At 45.6% G+C, this 18,565-nt stretch overlaps 5 annotated features.

Moving 5' to 3' along the window:
• Nucleotides 4,990-5,159: an enhancer, noted in NCBI's record as "experimental_7860 CRE fragment used in MPRA reporter constructs". NCBI's record gives its function as "activates a minimal promoter by MPRAs in K562 erythroleukemia cells, with activity observed for both the introgressed and non-introgressed 1:39485989 variant alleles {active_cell/tissue: K562}" and the evidence as "EXISTENCE:reporter gene assay evidence [ECO:0000049][PMID:34662402]".
• Nucleotides 7,518-8,226: an enhancer, noted in NCBI's record as "H3K27ac hESC enhancer chr1:39482837-39483545 (GRCh37/hg19 assembly coordinates)". NCBI's record gives its function as "activates a minimal SCP1, AML or CMV promoter by ChIP-STARR-seq in primed H9 embryonic stem cells {active_cell/tissue: H9 hESC(primed)}" and the evidence as "EXISTENCE:reporter gene assay evidence [ECO:0000049][PMID:30033119]".
• Nucleotides 7,691-7,860: an enhancer, noted in NCBI's record as "experimental_7858 CRE fragment used in MPRA reporter constructs". NCBI's record gives its function as "activates a minimal promoter by MPRAs in K562 erythroleukemia cells, with activity observed for both the introgressed and non-introgressed 1:39483288 variant alleles {active_cell/tissue: K562}" and the evidence as "EXISTENCE:reporter gene assay evidence [ECO:0000049][PMID:34662402]".
• Nucleotides 10,511-11,010: an enhancer, noted in NCBI's record as "H3K4me1 hESC enhancer chr1:39480053-39480552 (GRCh37/hg19 assembly coordinates)". NCBI's record gives its function as "activates a minimal SCP1, AML or CMV promoter by ChIP-STARR-seq in naive H9 embryonic stem cells {active_cell/tissue: H9 hESC(naive)}" and the evidence as "EXISTENCE:reporter gene assay evidence [ECO:0000049][PMID:30033119]".
• Nucleotides 11,813-11,982: an enhancer, noted in NCBI's record as "experimental_7853 CRE fragment used in MPRA reporter constructs". NCBI's record gives its function as "activates a minimal promoter by MPRAs in K562 erythroleukemia cells, with activity observed for both the introgressed and non-introgressed 1:39479166 variant alleles {active_cell/tissue: K562}" and the evidence as "EXISTENCE:reporter gene assay evidence [ECO:0000049][PMID:34662402]".

The raw sequence follows: 18,565 nt of genomic DNA, 5'->3' as shown, positions 1-18,565 counted from the left end.
GAGCTAGATTCAGTCTCAAAAAAAAAAAAAAAAAAAAAAAAAAAAAAAAAAAAAAGTAGGCCCCCACCAATTTCGTGTGACTCTAGGAAAGTTTCTTAACTTCATTGTGCCTCAGTCTCCTCGTCTGTTAAGATAATTATGGTATTCACAATGGAGGCTTGCTATAGGGATTAACTGATTTATGTATAAAGCACTGAGGCGGTGGCTAGCACATGGGAAACATTCCAAGGCAGTCGCAGTTCTTTGATGTCTCAGCTTTCAGTTTGTGAATCAACTGCTACCATGCCTGTCATCTGTTCCAGAACCTCCAATGACTCCCTTTGACTACATCAGAGACTCTAAAGTGTTGTGTGTATGTCTTTGGGGGGTGGACCACAGGGTGCATGAGATATTATACATTGGAGGTATGGGAGGAAAATACTAGAACATATATATATATATATATATATATATATATATATATATATATATAAATATATATATATATAATTATTACTTTTGAGACAGATTCTCACTCCCATTGCCCCGCTGGAGTGCAGTGGTGCAATCACAGTTCACTGCAGCCTCAACCTCCCTGGGCTCTGGTGATCCTCCCACCTCAGCCTCCCAAATAGCTGGGACCACATGTGCATGCCACCATGTGCCTGGCAGTCTTTATTATAATTATTATTTTATTTGAGATAGGGTCTCACTCCATCACCCAGGCTGGAGTGCAGTAGTGCTATCATAGATCACTGCAGCCTCAAACTCCAGGGCTCAAGCAATCCTCCTGCTTAGCCTCCCAAGTAGCTGGGACTACAGACATGCCACTGTGCCCAGCTAATTCTTTTTTTTTTTTTTTTTTTGAGACAGAGCTTCACTCTGTCACCAGGCTGAAATGCAGTGGTGCAATCTTGGCTCACTGCAACCTCCACCTCCCAGGTTCAAGCGATTCTCCTGCCTCAGCCTCCTGAATAGCTGGGACTACAGGTGTGCGCCACCACTCCCAGCTGATTTTTGTATTTTTTTTTAGTAGAGACGAGGTTTCACCATATTGGCTAGGATGGTCTAGATCTGTTGACTTCGTGATCTGCCCGCCTCAGCCTCCCAAAGTGCTGGGATTACAGGCGTGAACCACTGCGCCCGGCCAAGCTAATTCTTTAAAAAAATTTTTTGTGGAGATCAGTATCTCTTTATGTTTCCCAGGCTGGTCTCCAGCTCCTGGGCTCAAGTGATCCTCCTGCCTGGGCCTCCCAATGTGCTGAGATTACAGGCATGAGCCACCATGCCTGGCCCTTTTATACATTTTTTTTTAACACTCTGAGAGAGAGTTGAGGGCAGGCTGCTTGTAAGGATAAGGCAGCCTCTTTTATACATTATTAACCTAAGAAAAAATGGGGTGCCCTTGAAAGAGTTTTTTAAGATTAGAAAACAAGGGCCAGGTGCAGTGGCTAATGCCTGTAATCCCAGCATTTTGGGAGGCTGAGGCAGGCAGATCACCTGAGTTCAGGAGTTCAAGACCAGCCTGACCAACATGGTGATACCCTGTCTCTACTAAAAATACAAAAAATTAGCCAGGTGTGGTGGCAGGCACCTGTAATCCCAGCTACTTAGGAGGCTGAGGCAGGAGCATCGCTTGAACTGGAGAGGCAGAGGTTGCAGGGAGCCGAGATCGCACCATTGCACTCCAGCCTGGGCAACAAAAGCAAAACTCTGTCTCCAAAAAAAAAAAAAAAAAAGGCAAAAGGAAGTCAGAAGGAGCCAGATCAGTACTGTAAGGTGGATGCCTAATGATTTCCCATCAAAACTCTTGCAAAATTGCCCTTGTTTGCTGAGAGAAATGAGCAGGAACATTGTTATAGCGGAGAATGACTCTGGTGAAGCTTTCCCAGGCATTTTTCTGCTAAAACTTTTGCTAGTTTTCTCAAAACACTCTCATAATAAGCAGATGTTATTGTTCTTTGGCCCTCCAGAAAGTCAATAAACAAAATGCCTTGAACATTAAAAAAAAAAAAACGAATGACATGACCTTTGCTCTTGACTGGTCCACTTTTGCTTTGACCAGACACTTCCACCTCTTGGTAGCCATTGCTTTGATTGTGCATTGTCTTTAGGATTGTACTGGTAAAGCCATGTTTCATCTCCTATTACAATTCTTCAAAGAAATGCTTCAGGATCTTCATCCTGCTTGTTTAAAATTCCCATTGAAAGCTCTGCAGCTGATCTGGGCATGATGGTTTGGCACCTGCCAAGTGGAATGTTTGCTCAACTTTAGTTTTTCAGTCAGAATTATGTAAGCCGAACCAAGTGAGATGCCTATGGTATTGATTATTATTTCTGCTGTTGTCAATCCACTTCAGTTAGGACACAAAATGTTTTTCTCATAAATTGATGTGGATGGTCTGCCACTGTGGGTTTCATCTTCAACATCATTTCATCCCTTCTTTATTTTGTTTCTTTTTGGAGATGGAGTCTTGCTCTGTCGCCCAGGCTGGAGTGCAATGGCGTGGTCTCGGCTCACTGCAACCTCCGCCTCTTGGGTTCAAGCAGTTCTCCTGCCTCAGCCTTCCCAGGTAGCTGGGATTATAAGAGCCCACCACAATGCCCAGCTAATTTTTGTATTTTTGGTGGAGACGGGGTTTCACCATGTTGGCCAGGCTGGTCTTGAACTCCTGACCTCAGGTGATTCGCCTGCCTCAGCATCTCAAAGTGCTGAGATTACAGGCATGAGCCACCACGCCTGGCCAAGTATTCTTAAAGAAAATAAATACTAGGAGTCTGTAGTAGAGGCACAGCCCGGCCTAATCTCATCCCTTCTTAAAACAAATTATCTGGCCACGTGCGGTGGCTCATGCTTGTAATCCCAGCACTTTGGGAGGCCGAGGCAGGTGTATCACCTGAGGTCAGGAGTTCAAGACCAGCCTGGCCAACATGGCAAAACCCCATCTCTACTAAAAATACAAAAATTAGCCGGGCGTGGTGGCAGGCGCCTGTAATCCCAGCTACCCAGGGAGGCTGAGGCAGGAGAATCACTGGAACGTGGGAGGCAGAGGCTGCAGCGAGCCTAGATCATGCCACTGCACTCCAGCCTGGGTGACAGAGTGAGACTCCCTCTCAAAAAACAACAACAAAAAACAATTTATCTATTTGTAAACTGCTGATTTCTTTGAGGCATTGTCCCCATAAGCTTTTCGTAAAGCTTCAATGATCTCACCATTCTTCCACCCAAGCTTAACCATAAACTTGATATTTGTTCTTGCTTCAATTTTAGCAGAATTCATGTTACTCTTATAGGGGCTCTTTTCAAACTAATGTCTTATCCTTCATAGTGCCTCAAAGTAGATCCTGCTCAGACATGTTATAACAAGTTAGTACAAATTTATTTTGGTGCAAAAATTTTTTGAAATCTATGCATAGTTTTTTCATAATACACATTTTTCATAAACTTTGTGAAGACCTCTTGTATGTCCAGCTGAATACTGCAGGATTATATAACTGGTAACTCATGGCCCTTGCCCACAAAGTGCTAGTGGCGAGTTATCACTACCTTTTCCAGTCCCCTGCCCCTTTTCTTGTTTGTTGATGGTGTCATCTTCCCAGCCACTTAGGCAGCAAACTCTGGAGTTGTATTCTGCCTTTTCCTTTTCTTTCATTTAGTATTTAATTACAGCACAAGTTCTGTCAAATATTCCTTCAACAAATTTCCAATTTATCTCTTCCTTCTTGTCTCCCAACTCCTCACTCCAATCTGTTCTGCATGACTGGTCATCCTAAAATACAGATTTCATCATATCATTCCTCAGAAATACCATGCAGGGTTAAGCATGATGGCTCATGCCTGTAATCCCAGCACTTTAGGAGACTGAAGTGGATTGCTTGAGCCCAGGAGTTCGAGACCAGCCTGAGCAACATAGTGAGATCTTGTCAATACAACAACAACAAAAAAAATTAAAAAAAAATTAGCTGGGCATGGTGGTGTGTTGCTTGTAGTCCCAGCTACTCAGGAGGCTGAGGCAGGAGGATCACTTGAGCCCAAAAGGTTGAGGCTGCAGTGAGCCATGATTGAGCTACTGAACTCCAGGCTGCAGTAAGCCATGATTGAGCTACTGAACTCCAGTCTGGGTGACAGAGCAAGACCCTGTCAAAAAGAGAGAGAGACAGAGAGACAGAGAGAATGGAAGGAAGGAGGGAGGGAGGGAGGGAGGGAAGGAAGGAAGGAAGGAAGGAAGGGAGGGAGGGAGGGAGGGAGGGAGGCTGGGTGTGGTGGCTCACACCTGTAATCCCAACACTTTGGGAAGGCAAGGTGGGTGGATCACCTGAGGTCAGGAGTTTGAAACCAGCCTGGCCAACTTGGTGAAGCCCCGTCTCTACTAAAAATATAAAAATTTGCTGGGCATGGTGGCAGGTGCCTGTAATCCCAAATACTTGGGAGGCTGAGGCAGGAGAATCACTTGAACCTGGGAGGCGGAAATTGCAGCAAGTCAAGATCACGCCATTGCACTCCAGCCTGGGCAATGGAGTGGGACTCTGTCTCAAAACAAACAAAAACAAAACAAAGACAAAAAACCACAAAAACAAACAAAAAAAACTCAACACCTTTTACAATAGCTGCAAAAAATAAAATAAAATATTTAGGAATATACCTAACCAAGGAGGCAAAAGACCTCTACAAGGAAAATTACAAAACACTGCTGAAAGAAATGATAGATGACACAAACAAATGGAAACACATCCCATGTTCATGGATGGGTAGAAATCAATATTGTGAAAATGACCATACTGCCAAAAGCAATCTACAAATTCAACGCAATCCCCATCAAAATACCACCACCATTCTTCACAGAATTAGAAAAAACAATTCTAAAAAAAAAAATTATAAAATTTATATGGAACCAAAAAAGAGCTTGCATAGCCAAAGCAAGGCTAAGCAAAAAGAACAAATCTGGAGGCATCACATTACCTGATTTTAAACTATACTATAAGGCCATAGTCACAAAACAGCATAGTACTGATATAAAAATAGGCACATAGGCCGGGTGCAGTGGCTCACACCTGTAATCCTAGCACTTTGGGAGGCTGAGACAGGCGGATCACCTGAGGTCAGGAGTTTGAGACCAGCCTGGCCAACATGGCCAAACCCCATCTCTACTAAAAATAAAAAAATTAGCCCGGCGTGGTGGTGCACACCTGTAATCCCAGCTACTCAAGAGGCTGAGGAAGGAGAATTGCTTGAACCTGGAAGGTGGAGGTTGCAGCGAGCCAAGATCACGCCACTGCACTCCAGCCTGCTCGACAGGAGCGAGACTCCATCTCAAAATAATAATAATAATAATAATAATAATAATAAAATAAATAAATAGGCACATAGACCAATGGAACAGAATAGAGAACCCAGAAATAAACCCAAATATTTACACCCAACTGATCTTTGACAAAGCAAACAAAAACATAAAGTGAGGAAAGGACACCTTTTCAACAAATGGTGCCTGGACAATTGGCTAGCCATGTGTAGGAGAATGAAACTGGATCCTCATCTCTCACCTTAAATAAAAATCAACTCAAGATGGATTAAGGACTTAAATCTAAGACCTGAAACTATAAAAAGTCTAGAAAATAACTTAGACATTGGCTTAGGCAAGAATTTCATGACGAAGAAGCCAAAAGCAAATGCAATAAAAACAAAGACAAATAGTTGGGACTTAATTAAACTAAAGAGATTTTGCATGGCAAAAGTAACAGCCAGCAGAGTAAACAGACAACCCACAGAGTGAGAGAAAATCTTCACAATCTATATCTGACAAAGGATTAATATCCAGAATCTATAACAAAAACAAACTCAAACAAATCAGTAAGAAAAAAAAATCCCATCAAAAAGTGGGCTAAGGACATGAATACACAATTCTCAAAAGAAGATATACAAATGACCAACAAACATATTTAAAAAAGCTCAACATCACTAATGATCAGGGAAATGCAAATCAAAACCACAATGCGATACCATTATACTGCTGCAAGAATGGCCGCAGTAAAAAAATCAAAAAAGGCCGGGCGCGGTGGCTCATGCCTGTAATCCCAGCACTTTGGGAGGCGGAAGCGGGTGGATCACGAGGTCAGGAAATCAAGGCCATCCTGGCTAACACGGTGAAACCCCGTCGCTACTAAAAATACAAAAAATTAGCCGGGCGTGATGGCGGGCGCCTGTAATCACAGCTACAGGGGAGGCTGAGGCAGGAGAATGGTGTCAACCCGGGAGGCGGAGCTTGCAGTGAGCCGAGTCGCGCCACTGCACTCCAGCCTGGGCTACACAGGCAGACTCCGTCTCAAAAAATAAATAAATAAATAAATAAATAAATAAATAAATAAATAAATAAATCAAAAAACAGGCATGGTGGCTCATGCCTGTAATCCCAGCACTTTGGGAGGCCAAGGCAGGCAGATCACCTGAGGCCAGGAGTTTGAGACCAGCCTGGCCAACGTGATGAAAGCCTGTCTCTACTAAAAGTACAAAAATTAGCTATGCGTGGTGGCAGGCGCCTGTAATCCCAGCTACTCGGGAAGCTAAAGCATGAGAATCGCTTAAACCTGGGAGTTGGAGGTTGCAGTGAGCCAAGGTCACGCCACTGCACTCCAGCCTGGGGGATAGTGCAAGACTCTTGTCTCTAAAAAAATAAATAAAATAAAAAAGCAGTAGATGTTGGCATGGATGCAGTGATCAGGGAACAATTCTACACTGCTGGTGGGCATGTAAACTAGTACAGCCACTATGGAAAACTATGTGGAGATTCCTTAAAGAATTAAAAGTAGAACTACCATTTGATCCAGCAGTCTCACTACTGGGTATCTATCCAGAGGAAAAGAAGTCATTATACGAAAAAGATACTTGTACACACATGTTTATAGCAGCACAATTCTCAGTTGCAAAAATGTGGAACCAACCCAAATGCCCATCAATCAACGAGTGGATAAAGAAACTGTGGTCCGGGCGCAGTGGCTCATGCCTGTAATCCCAGCACTTTGGGAGGCCAAGGTGGGCGGATCATGAGTTCAGGAGATGGAGACCACCCTGGCTAACACGGTGAAACCCCGTCTCTACTAAAAATATGAAAAATTAGCCGGGCGTGGTGGCATGTGCCTGTAATCCCAGCTACTCAGGAGGCTGAGGCAGGAGAATCGCTTGAACCCAGGAGGCTTAGAGGTTGCAGTGAGCTGAGATCACACCACTGCACTCCAGCCTGGGCAACAGAGCAAGACTCCCGTCTCAAAGAAAAAAAAAAAAGAATCTGTGGTGTATATATATATACGATGGAATACTACTCAGCCATAAAAAGGAATGAATTAATGGCATTTGCAGTGACCTGGATGAGATTGGAGACTAATATTCTAAGTGAAGTAACTCAGGAATGGAAAATCAAACATCGTATGTTCTCACTGATATGTGCGAGCTAAGCTATGAGGACGCGAAGGCTTAAGGATGATACAGTGGATTTTGGGGACCTGGAGGAAAGGGCGGGAGGGGGGCGAGGGATAAAAGACTACAAATAGGGTACGGTGTATACTGCTTGGGTGATGGGTGCATCAAAATCTCACAAATCACCACTAAAGAACTTACTCATGTAACCAAATACCACCTGTACCCTAATAACTTATGAAAACAGCAACACTTCCATGGCCCTTGGGTTCTTGGGATGAAGAAACAATCAAAATGTTGTAGCCAGTGATCTTCTGTTACAGAAAGATGAATGAAACACAAAGAAGGGAGCCATTCATTCTGCCCTGGCTGTGTGTCAATGCTTCAAGAAAAGGTAAAAATTCTTGGGTTTGGCATTCAAGATCATTCACCCATTTCTAAATCCTCAGATCCCATTGCTTACTGCCCCCACTCAAACTCGTGTTCTCAGCCATCCACAATTGCTTTCACGCTCCAAGCTCGTTGGAGCAGTTTCTTCGCCTGGAATGATCCCACCCACTTGCTGCTACCTTCCCACTGTCTCCCTGGCGAATGCCTAATCCATTCAGATCCAGTTTATCACATCATTTTCTGGTGAAAACTTCCTGAATTCCTCAGGCATTTACAGGCCTTTTTGAGATCCCACCAGCCCTGTAAATGTCTATTATAGATATTGTTAAATGATGATTCCCCAGCCTCCTCCACCAGGCCCTGCATACAGTCTTGCTGTATGCATGATAGGGGTGCAAGGATGTAGGTGTCAGTCTTCCTTGGCTGCAAAGGCTGAGAAACTAAAAATCCCAGAGTACCCCCTGCTAGAACTGAGCCTGCGTGCCACTGGCGGCTGCCTGCATTTTGTTGCTCCCTATGTCACAAGCGAGGTAATGTTGCTGTCCCCTCCCCCCTTCCCTACCTTTACCTTTTCTTTGCCTGGATCTGCATATCCATTGCTTCATGGGTGTTTTTATACTGAAATCAAAGGAGGCCTTCATGTGTAGAGAGGCAAGCCCACGCTATTGCTGTTTTCCGTTTCATGGATCCCGAGGCCCCGACACCCAGTGGAATAGGACTAGCTATTCTTCCCAACATAGCCTTGCTCCCAGGGTAACAAAGCGGGGCTGGAAGTGCTAATGCAAGGCCCTGAGTCCCACCCCTCTGAACAAGCCTCAGCTGCTGCATGCACAGGGTGTCTGCAAGGTTGTAGGCAGAGCCGTCTACAGGTTTCCTGGGTCTGCATTCACGGGATTTCTGTCCTTGACCTGTAAGGTTCCCTCATGTTTACACACCTCTTAGTCATAACCTGAGAAAAGCTCTCACAGTACCCTTCTACAGATAGGCCATCTATAATTTAGCACATTGGGAACTTTATTTAGATCTGTATCCTGGTACCACTGCCACACAGATTTGAATAAGCTGGGTAGCACATTTGGGGAAGATGGTGTTTGGAGAGTCTCCCTACTCCTAACCTGGTAATTCGGCTGTAGGACAGACACAACAGAGCAGAGAAGCAAAGTAATGTGAAAAACAAACGGGTCTTAAGGGCTGGAATATAATGGAAACCAGAGCGATCATCTAAGTGACATCTAAGATTGTGCCATTTGGGGCTGGAGGAAATATCAAGTTGAACAGGTGAAACAATCAGGAATCACTGAGTCAAAATGAATTGGGGAGAGACTGAGCCAGGCTTATGGTGGGAGGGGTAACTTGATTTTGGTAAACATCCCATCCCTAGAACAACTAACTCCTCTCACTTTGATTTATAGAGCTGCCTTTTAACTTTAACTAAGCTTCCCAAGCAGTATGATTACATGAAGAAAATAAACTAGTAAGGCCAAAGGACCAGTCTACCTGACATATATTTTCATCATAAATTAACACACTGGAGTTTGGTTTTTTATTTTTTTATTTTTATTTATTTATTTTTTGAGACGGAGTCTCACTCTGTCGCCCAGGCTGGAGTGCAGTGGTGTGATCTCAGCTCACTGCAACCTCTGCCTCTCCAGGTTTAAGCAATTCTCTGCCTCAGCCTCTGGAGTAGCTGGGATTACAGGCGCGTGCCACCACGCCCCGCTAATTTTTTTGTATTTTTAGTAGAGATGAGGTTTCACCATTTTGGCCAGGCTGGTCTTGAACTCCTGACCTCGTGATCACCCGTCTCGGCCTCCCAAAGTGCTGGGATTACAGGCGTGAGCCACCGCGCCTGGCCAGGAGTCTGGTTTTATAGATCAATATAGCTTTATTAGTGAGTCAGATTCCTGAACACAGATGAGGGTAATTACACTACCTGGAGGGAACCTGCCAGGGCAGCTGAATAACCTTCCCCAGGAAACACCCTGCCCTCTCTCTGTCCAGACCCAAAGAACACTTACCAAAGTAAGGAGTCTCCTGCCCACTAGATTGTGAGCTTCTCTAGGTTGAGGACTGCTGAATCGCTGATTTTGGCTGCAGAGAGACAGCCTACAGAAGGCTTAAAATTATTTGATCTGGGAGTTAAGAGGAAAGAGTTTCAGGTAGAATACTGAAAATTGGGGAAGAGGAAGAGCAGCCACATAATTCATTAAGTCACTTTTTTAAATTCTCCAATTTAAAACATAATTAAAAAGTAAACTTTAATGTCGAAAATGCAAACTTGGGGAGGGCAGAAAGATCACACACAAGGCTGTCACTTCACACTTGGAGGGTTGCACAGCAGCCGGGCAGAGGCGCTCCTCACTTCCCAGACGGTGTGGCCATAGGACTCCATCGCTGGACATGTGACTTGAGTTTAAGCCTCTCCCTTCTGCCCTCATCTGGAGATGCTGACAGCCTGGGAGCTCCCACCTTTGGCACTGGATGGAGACCGAAGCCTGGCAAGGCCCTGCCCTCAGCAGGAACTCCCCCTGGGCCCCCACTCTGTGACCCCGAGCGCAGGCTAGGATTTTTCCCTTACCTTCTCAAGCCACTTTGGGCCTGCCCAGCTCTCTCAGAGCCCTGCTAGGTAGGTGACAACCCTGTTCCCAGTGTTTTGCTTTGTTTTGTTTTTTGAGATACAGTCTCGCTCTGTCGCCAGGCTGGAGTACAGTGGCGCTATCTCTGCTCACCGTGATCTCCGCCTCCCGGGTTCAAGCGATTCTCCTGCCTTAGCCTCCTGAGTAGCTGGACTACAGGTGCCCACCACCACGTCTGGCTAGTTTTTGTATTTTTAGTAGAGACGGGATTTCACCATGTTGGCCAGGATGGTCTCGATCTCTTGACCTCATGATCCACCCGCCTTGGCCTCCCAAAGTGCTGGGATTACAGGCATGAGCCACCGGGCCTGGCCCCCAGTTTTTTTAAATTCAATTTTAAGTAGAGACGGGGTTTCACGATATTGGCCAGGCTGGTCTCGAACTCCTGACCTCAGGTGATCCACTCGCCTTGGCCTCCCTAAGTGCTGGAATTACTGGCATGAGCCACTGCACCCAGCCCCCGGTTCCCACCTTCTTAGTGTATGTGCTGTCATCACGTTCCACCCCAACCAAACCTTGGGTGGGCAGCCTCTGCAGGGGACTACTCACAACTGGCCTGTAGTCACGGTTCCCTGCAGAGCCCTCGCAGGTGGTCCAGATGTGCCCACTGGCCCTGCCCCAGTGTGTCTTCCCTGCCTCTGGTCTGCTCTGCCTGATGTGCGCTGTACGCTCGGCTCTGCTGACTCTGAGGGGGCCTCCGTCACACACCGAGCCAGCTTCATCAGCTGTCTCAGTAGTTGATGTTCAGGGACAGGATAACGGGATCCCGCCCTTCCTAAGGTGTACCTGGGTTGCGACTCAGAATGGAAGTTCAGAACAAAGAGACTGAGCTGTGAAGTCACTCACTATTTAAAAGACAAGAATAGATATAATAGGTGAAGGCCGGGCGCGGTGGCTCGTGCCTGTAATCCCAGTACTTTGGGAGGCCAAGGTGGGTGGATCACTTGAAGTCAGGAGTTCCAGACCAGCTTGGCTAATATGGAGAAGCCCCGTCTCTGCTAAAAATACAAAAAATTAGCTGGGTGTGGTGGCGGGTGCCTGTAATCCCAGCTATTTGGGAGGCTGAGGCAGGGAGAATCGCTTGAACCCGGGAGGCGGAGGTTGCAGTGAGCCGAGACCATACCACTGCCTCCAGCCTGGAGTTTTTTCTTGAAACTCCATCTCAAGAAAAAAAAAAAAAATGATGGGGTGAGTCAATGCTAGGGACAGAGTCTGAGAGGAAAAAGTTTTTTTTTTCTTTAAGAGGGTCTCTCTCTGTTGCCTCAGCTGGACTGCAATGGTGAAATCATAGTTCACCGTAACCTCGAACTCCTGGACTCAAGCAATTGAGAGGAAAATTTTAAAGTAGTGCATGCAAACGCTAATTAATGCCTTTAAATAGGTAGGTTTAAGAGAATCTATGTCACCCCACTTCCCTCCTCCATTAAAGGAACCAGCAGTGGCTATGGAATTGGGCTGGATTAGGTAAAGTGAGGGGGAAAGACAAGCCAAACCAAAAGAAAAAGGATCTTTGAAGGTGTGTCTAAGGGGACAGGGAAGATGAGACTAGAAAGATTCTTCAAGAGCCACATTCCTCTCTTTTTTTTTGAGATAGAGTTTTGCTCTTGTTGTCCAGGCTGGAGTGCAATGGTGTGATCTCAGCTCACCGCAACCTCCACCTCCCAGGTTCAAGCGATTCTCCTGCCTCAGCCTCCCGAGTAACAGGGATTACAGGCATGCACCACCACGCCCGGCTAATTTTGTATTTTTAGTAGAGAAGAGGTTTCTCCATGTTGGTCAGGCTGGTCTTGAACTCCTGACCTCAGGTGATCCGCCCACCTCTACCTCCCAAAGTGCTGGGATTACAGGCGTGAGCCACCGCACCCGGCCCAAGAGCCACGTTCCTCTTAGGTGAAGCTACAGCCATGGTTAATCATCCTTCCTAATAAATATATAGGCCTCATTACCTCTGACTGGACAAAAAAAAAAAAAGAGGCTCTTAGTGGCTGTGTGTCTTAGTCTGGTATTTGCCCTTCTGTCTTGCACCTAGCCCTGAATTCATTTTCCCAAAACCCTTCAGATTTCCACAGGATAAGGCCCAAACTCCTATTAGTCAAAGCCCTCTATTATCTAGCCCCTACTACCTAGCTCCAGACTTCTCCTGGGATCCACAACAGTTTTCCACTCTTGCTAAATGAGAATGTCCTCTCTGCATACCACCACGGTTTCCCATTACTATCCCTACTTTCACCTACCTGAGCCCATTCTTTTTTTTTTTTTTTTTTTTGAGACAGAGTCTCGCTCTGTCGCCCAGGCTGGAGTGCAGTGGCGTGATCTCGGCTCACTGCAAGCTCCGCCTCCTGGGTTCATGCCATTCTCCTGCCTCAGCCTCCCGAGTAGCTGGGACTACAGGCGCCCGCCACCACGCCTGGCTAATTTTTTGTATTTTTAGTTGAGATGGGGGTTTCACCATCTTAGCCAGGATGGTCTCGACCTCCTGACCTTGTGATCTGCCCACCTCGGCCTCCCAAAGTGCTGGGATTACAGGTGTGAGCCACCACACCCGGCCTCATTCATTCTTTGAACGTTTCAACCCTACCTCCTCCAATGAAGCCTTCCCTGATCAGAATCGCCCTCTCCTCAGTCTACTACCTGTACCAGTCACACAACACTTGCCAACTTTTACCTTGCCTGCTTATGTCTCTTGCTAGACCGAGTCCCTTCTCAGTAGATTCAGTTGACTATTTATTTATGTTAAACTCTAAATTGGGTACTAGCGTTATAAGACAGAAGGGCTAGGGCCATTTACAGAACTTGTCAGGCTTTAAAAACTCAAATATCATTCCTCCAGAAATAAAGAACACAGAAGACACCAGTAATACTTGCTGAATGATTAACACTCAAAGCCAACATAAACATGTCTTTTCCTACTTATGTTTAACTAACAAGAAGGCATGTTGGGTAGCAAGGCAGGTTGGCAGGTTAACAGCCTTCATCAACTAATGAAAGCCCTGATGAGACAAGAAATATAGGTAATTTCACTCCTAGAAATGGAGCATTAGAAAATCTGGATCCACTTGGCCGGGCGCGGTGGCTCACGCCTGTAATCCTAGCACTTTGGGAGGCCGAGGCAGGCGGATCACGAGGCCAGATCGAGACCATCCTGGCTATCACGGTGAAACCCCGTCTCTACTAAAAATACAAAAAAAAATTAGCCAGGCGTGGTGGCGGGCATCTATAGTCCCAGCTACTGGGGAGGCTGAGGCGGGAGAATGGCGTGAACCCAGGAGGTGGAGCTTGCAGTGAACTGAGATTGCGCCACTGCACTCCAGCCTGGGTGACAGAGCGAGACTCCGTCTCAAAAAAAAAAAAAAAAAAAAAAGAAAAAGAAAATCTGGATCCACCTGAGGGCACATGACCTCATGAGGGCCATGCCATGGGTGACGGTCACCCTAAATTTAAAAAAATAAAATCTGGGAGATCACACCTGTAATCTCAGCACTTTGGGAGGCCAAGGGTGGGGGAGTCGCTTGAGCTGCAGTGAGCTATGATTGCACCACCACACTCCAACAAGGGCAACAGAGCGAGACCATCTCTAAAAAATAAATAGAAAAACCTACTGACAAAGCCAACTAAAAAGCAATGAAAATGGCTGGGCGCGATGGCTCACACCTGTAATCCCAGCACTTTGGGAGGCCAAGGCGGGTGGATCGCCTCAGGTCAGGAGTTCGAGACCAGCCTGGCCAACATGGTGAAATGTCGTCTCTATTAAAAATACAAAAATTAGCCAGGTGTGGTGGCAGGTGCCTGTAATCCCAGCTACTTGGGGAAGCTGAGGCAGGAGAATCACTTGAACCCGGGAGGCGGAGGTTGCAGTGAGCAGAGATCATGCCACTGCACTCCAGCCTGGGCGACAACAGCAAAACTCCACCTCAAAAAAAAAAGCAGTTAAAAAAAAATTATATATATATATATAGTTTTTTGAGACAAGAGTCTTGCTCTGTCACCCAAGCTGGAGTGCTATGGCACAATCATGGCTCACAGCAGCCTCAACCTCCCAGGCTTGTGATTCTTCCACCTCAGCCTCCAGAGAAGCTGAGACCACAGGTGTGTGCCACCACACCTGGCTGATTTTTTGAGTTTATTTTTTGCAAAGGCAGGTTCTTCTGATGTTGCCCAGGCTGGTCTCAAATGATCCTCCCACCTCAGCCTCCCAAAGTGTTGGGATTACAGGCGTGAGCCACCATGCCCAGCCCGTCATTCTCTTAAAGGCATCAAAAAGCTAACCAGCTAATAAGGAAGAACTGAACCAAAGTCTAAGTGAGGAGAAAGCAGAGCTAAGCCTAACAGTCAGAGCTGCTTTTTCCTTTAAGGCATTTGCCAATCTGGAAGAAGTTCTTGGACACCTGAGCTGCACTTTTAGAAGTCTTTCAGCAGCCTCAAAGGACTGGACAAAAGTCAAAACCTAAGGCTAGCTAATGGTGGGAATTCTCACCACAGACACCTTAAATTGGGATCCCAAAGAATTACACCTTTAAGATAAAGGTGAATCAAAAGTAAACCATTTCTCGGCCAGGCGTGGTGGCTCACTCCTGTAATCTCAGTACTTTGGGAGGCCGAGGCAGGCAGATCACCTGACGTCAGGAGTTCAAGACCAGCCTGGCCAACATGGTGAAACCCTGTCTCTATTAAAAATACAAAAATTAGCTGTGCTTGATGGCACATGCCTGTAATCCTAGCTATTCCGGAGGCTGAGGCAGGGGAATCCTTTGAACCCGGGAGGCAGAGATTGTAGTGAGCCGAGATCGTGCCACCGCACTCCAGCCTGGGTGACAAGAGTGAGACTCCGTCTCAAAAAACAACAACAAAACCAAACAAAAAAAGTAAACCAGTTCTCAAGTGGACTTGCCACCAGGTTATATTTAATCTGGATGACCTGAGGTACTTTCAGCCTTCTGAAACCTGCATCAGATGATTTGGTAGTATCCTCAGCCACAGGCAACATAAATCCTTCTTAGAGATAGATACCCTCATTCTTGTCCTGTTCACTCCTGCAAATAATAATTTTTTTTTTTTTTGAGATGGAGATTTGCTTGTTGCCTAGGCTGGAGTGCAATGGTATGCAATCTTGAATCACTGCAACCTCCTCCTCCTGGGTTCAAGTGATTCTCCTGGCTCAGCCTCCCTAGTAGCTGGGATTACAGGCGCCCGCCACCACGCCCGGCTGATTTTTTGTATTTTTAGTAGAGACGGGGTTTCATTATATTGGCCAGGCTGGTCTCAAACTTCTGACCTCATGATCTGCCCACCTTGGCCTCCGAAAGTGCTGGGATTACAGGCGTGAGCTACCGCACCCAGCCTGAGCCACCATGCCCACCGTAATTTTTCAAATATACTGTCCAGCTCACAGATAACCAGGCATAAAATGAGATACTACACAGGGCGCGGTGGCTCACGTCTGTAATCCCAGCTCTTTCAGAGGTTGAGGCGGGTGGATCACGAGGTCAGAAGTTTGAGACCAGTCTGGCCAATATGATGAAACCCCTTCTCTATTGAAAAATACAATAGCCAGGCGTGGTGGCGGGCGCCTGTAATCCAAGCTATTCAGGAGACTGAGGCAGAACTGCTTGAACCCAGGCGGCGGAGGATGCGGTGAGCTGAAATTGCGCCACTGCACTCCAGCCTGGGTGACAGACTGAGACTCTGTCTCAAAAAAGAAAAAAAAAAAGGAGATATTAGATACAGCAATAAGTAAAACGAAACAAAGACCCATGAAGACCAGAACTTTAAATTGTCAAAATATCACACCTTCAGTACAATAAAGTGCTAATTATTTACTTGAAAGTATGGTTTGGTGGCCAGGTGCGGTGGCTCACACCTGTAATCCCAGCACTTTGGGAGGCTAAGGCGAGTGGATCACGAGGTCAGAAGTTCAAGACCCACCCAACCAACATGGTAAAACCCCGTCTCTACTAAAAATACAAAATTAGCTGGGCGTGGTGGTGCATGCCTGTAATCCCACTTACTTGGGAGGCTGAGGCAGGAGAATCACTTGAACCCGGGAGACGGAAGTTGCAGTGAGCCGAGATTGCACCAGTGCATTCCAGCCTGGGCAACAAGAATGAAACTTCATCTCAAAAAAAAGAAAAAAAAAAAGTATGGTTTAGGGTGGGTTAATGTACGCTTTTTTCCAGGTGTCCAACCTTATCCAGTTTAACTGTAGCTCTGGAAGACTACAGCACTCCCTCAATCTGTTTTCAACAAAGGACTCCAGAGTAGTAGAGAAGTTTCTGTTCCTTTTTAATAGCCCATGGGCACTATTACACTCTGTTCCTTAAGAACAGTATTTTACAAACTATTTTAAAGCCATGCTATTTTCTGTTAAACAAAATTCTCACACCCATTTTTGTACCTAAAATTCCAAAATTAAAAATGCTTGAAATAAAATTGGTCATTTCAAATCTTTTTCCCTCCCCAAATAGTATGCTCTGTGTCCCCATCCTTGAGAATCATTGCTCTAAACAGTTGTTCAATAGCTTTTTCTGTGACATACTTACTTTGGCAATCAGTTTTTATTTGTAAGCAAAAAGGGTATTTTCATCACACCTCAACTTAAGGTATAACAGCCTTAAGAATGACAAATTAGGGTAAGTGTTGACCAACTCATGATGCAACAAGGATTATAAATGAAGTAACTTTGCCTTGTTTGTTGCTCTTTTTTCTTTTTTTTAATTGAGACAGAGTTTTGCTCTTGTTGCCCAGGCTGGAGTGCAATGGTGTGATCTCGGCTCACCTCAACCTCCACCTCCCAAGTTCAAGTGATTCTCCTGCCTCAGCCTTCCAAGTAGCTGGGATTACAGGAATGCACCACCACGCCCGGCTAATTTTGCATTTTTAGTAGAGATGGGATTTCTCCATGTTGGCCAGGCTGGTCTTGAACTCCCATTCTCAGGTGATCTGCCCGCCTCGGCCTCCCAAAGTGCTGGGATTACAGGCATGGGCCACCGTGCCCAGCCTGTGTGCTTTTTCCCAAATGTTTCTTCATGCTTTAGTGCAAAGGCCAGCACACTTTTCTGTAAAAGGACACAGAGTAAGTATTTTCAGCTCTGTGGCCCATGCTTTGGTCTTTGTAGCACCTACTCTACTCAAGTCTGGAGTTAGTGTGAAAACTGCCACAGACAAATGAATAGGTGTAGCAGTGTTTCTACAAAACTTTACAAAAATAGGCCAGTTTTTGTATGACCCTGCTATATTAACATACAAAACATACTGAATACAGATTCACAGAAAGGCATTACCAAATTCATTTGTCATTCATCTTTTATTTCCTTAATCAAACAAAGGTACAAATTCTAATAAGAAAAAGTGAGATCTTTATGTTAACAAGGGGCTATTCATATTGGAAAGCTGAGAATCACTACTTGGGACACAAAAGTTTGGGTCTCCAGGTCTGACGAAGACTACTATAAAGAAACCTGCTCTAACATTGTAAAGTGCATAGTCTATGCCCTAAGCTGTGCTAAATACTTTCTTTACATGGATGATTTCTTGCATTTGAAAACAAAACCCAATATGAACCTACTATTAACCTCGATTTTACAGGTAAGCAAGCCATGTTTCAGCAAGTTTAGTAATCTGGCAAGGCTGACATAACCAAATTAGTGGCAGAGAAGAAACCAAACTACAGAGCTACAACCACGCAGTCAGTCCTTTACTATGCTAGCCAACCAATCCTCCATGGTAAGAAGATTCACCAGGTTTGAAAGATTGGCTTAAATCCTTTTTTTTTTTTGAGACATAGTCTTAACTCTGTTGCCAGGCTGGAGTGCAATGGCACAATCTCGGCTCACTGCAACCTCCGCCTCATGGTTTCAGGTTGATTCTCCCGCCTCAGCCTTCCAAGTAGCTGAGATTACAGGCGCCCGCCACTACGCCCAGCTAATTTTTGTATTTTAGTAGAGATGGGGTTTCACCATGTTGGTCAAGCTGGTCTCAAACTCCAGACCTCGGGTGATCTGCCCCTCAGCCTTCCAAAGTGCTGGGATTACAGGCGTGCGCCACCCGCTGGCTTAAATTCTTGTACTCTCTGATGGTCTTCCCCTTTGGAAGATCTTAACAATTATCACTGCCTTAGGAGCTCTGATCTTCCTTTTAACTTCTGACCCAAGGATGG

Source organism: Homo sapiens, chromosome 1 (genome assembly GCF_000001405.40).
Source record: "Homo sapiens chromosome 1, GRCh38.p14 Primary Assembly".
NCBI lineage: Eukaryota > Metazoa > Chordata > Mammalia > Primates > Hominidae > Homo > Homo sapiens.
The sequence above is the reverse complement of the archived record's forward strand: the minus strand, read 5'-3'. Positions and strand labels throughout refer to the sequence as shown.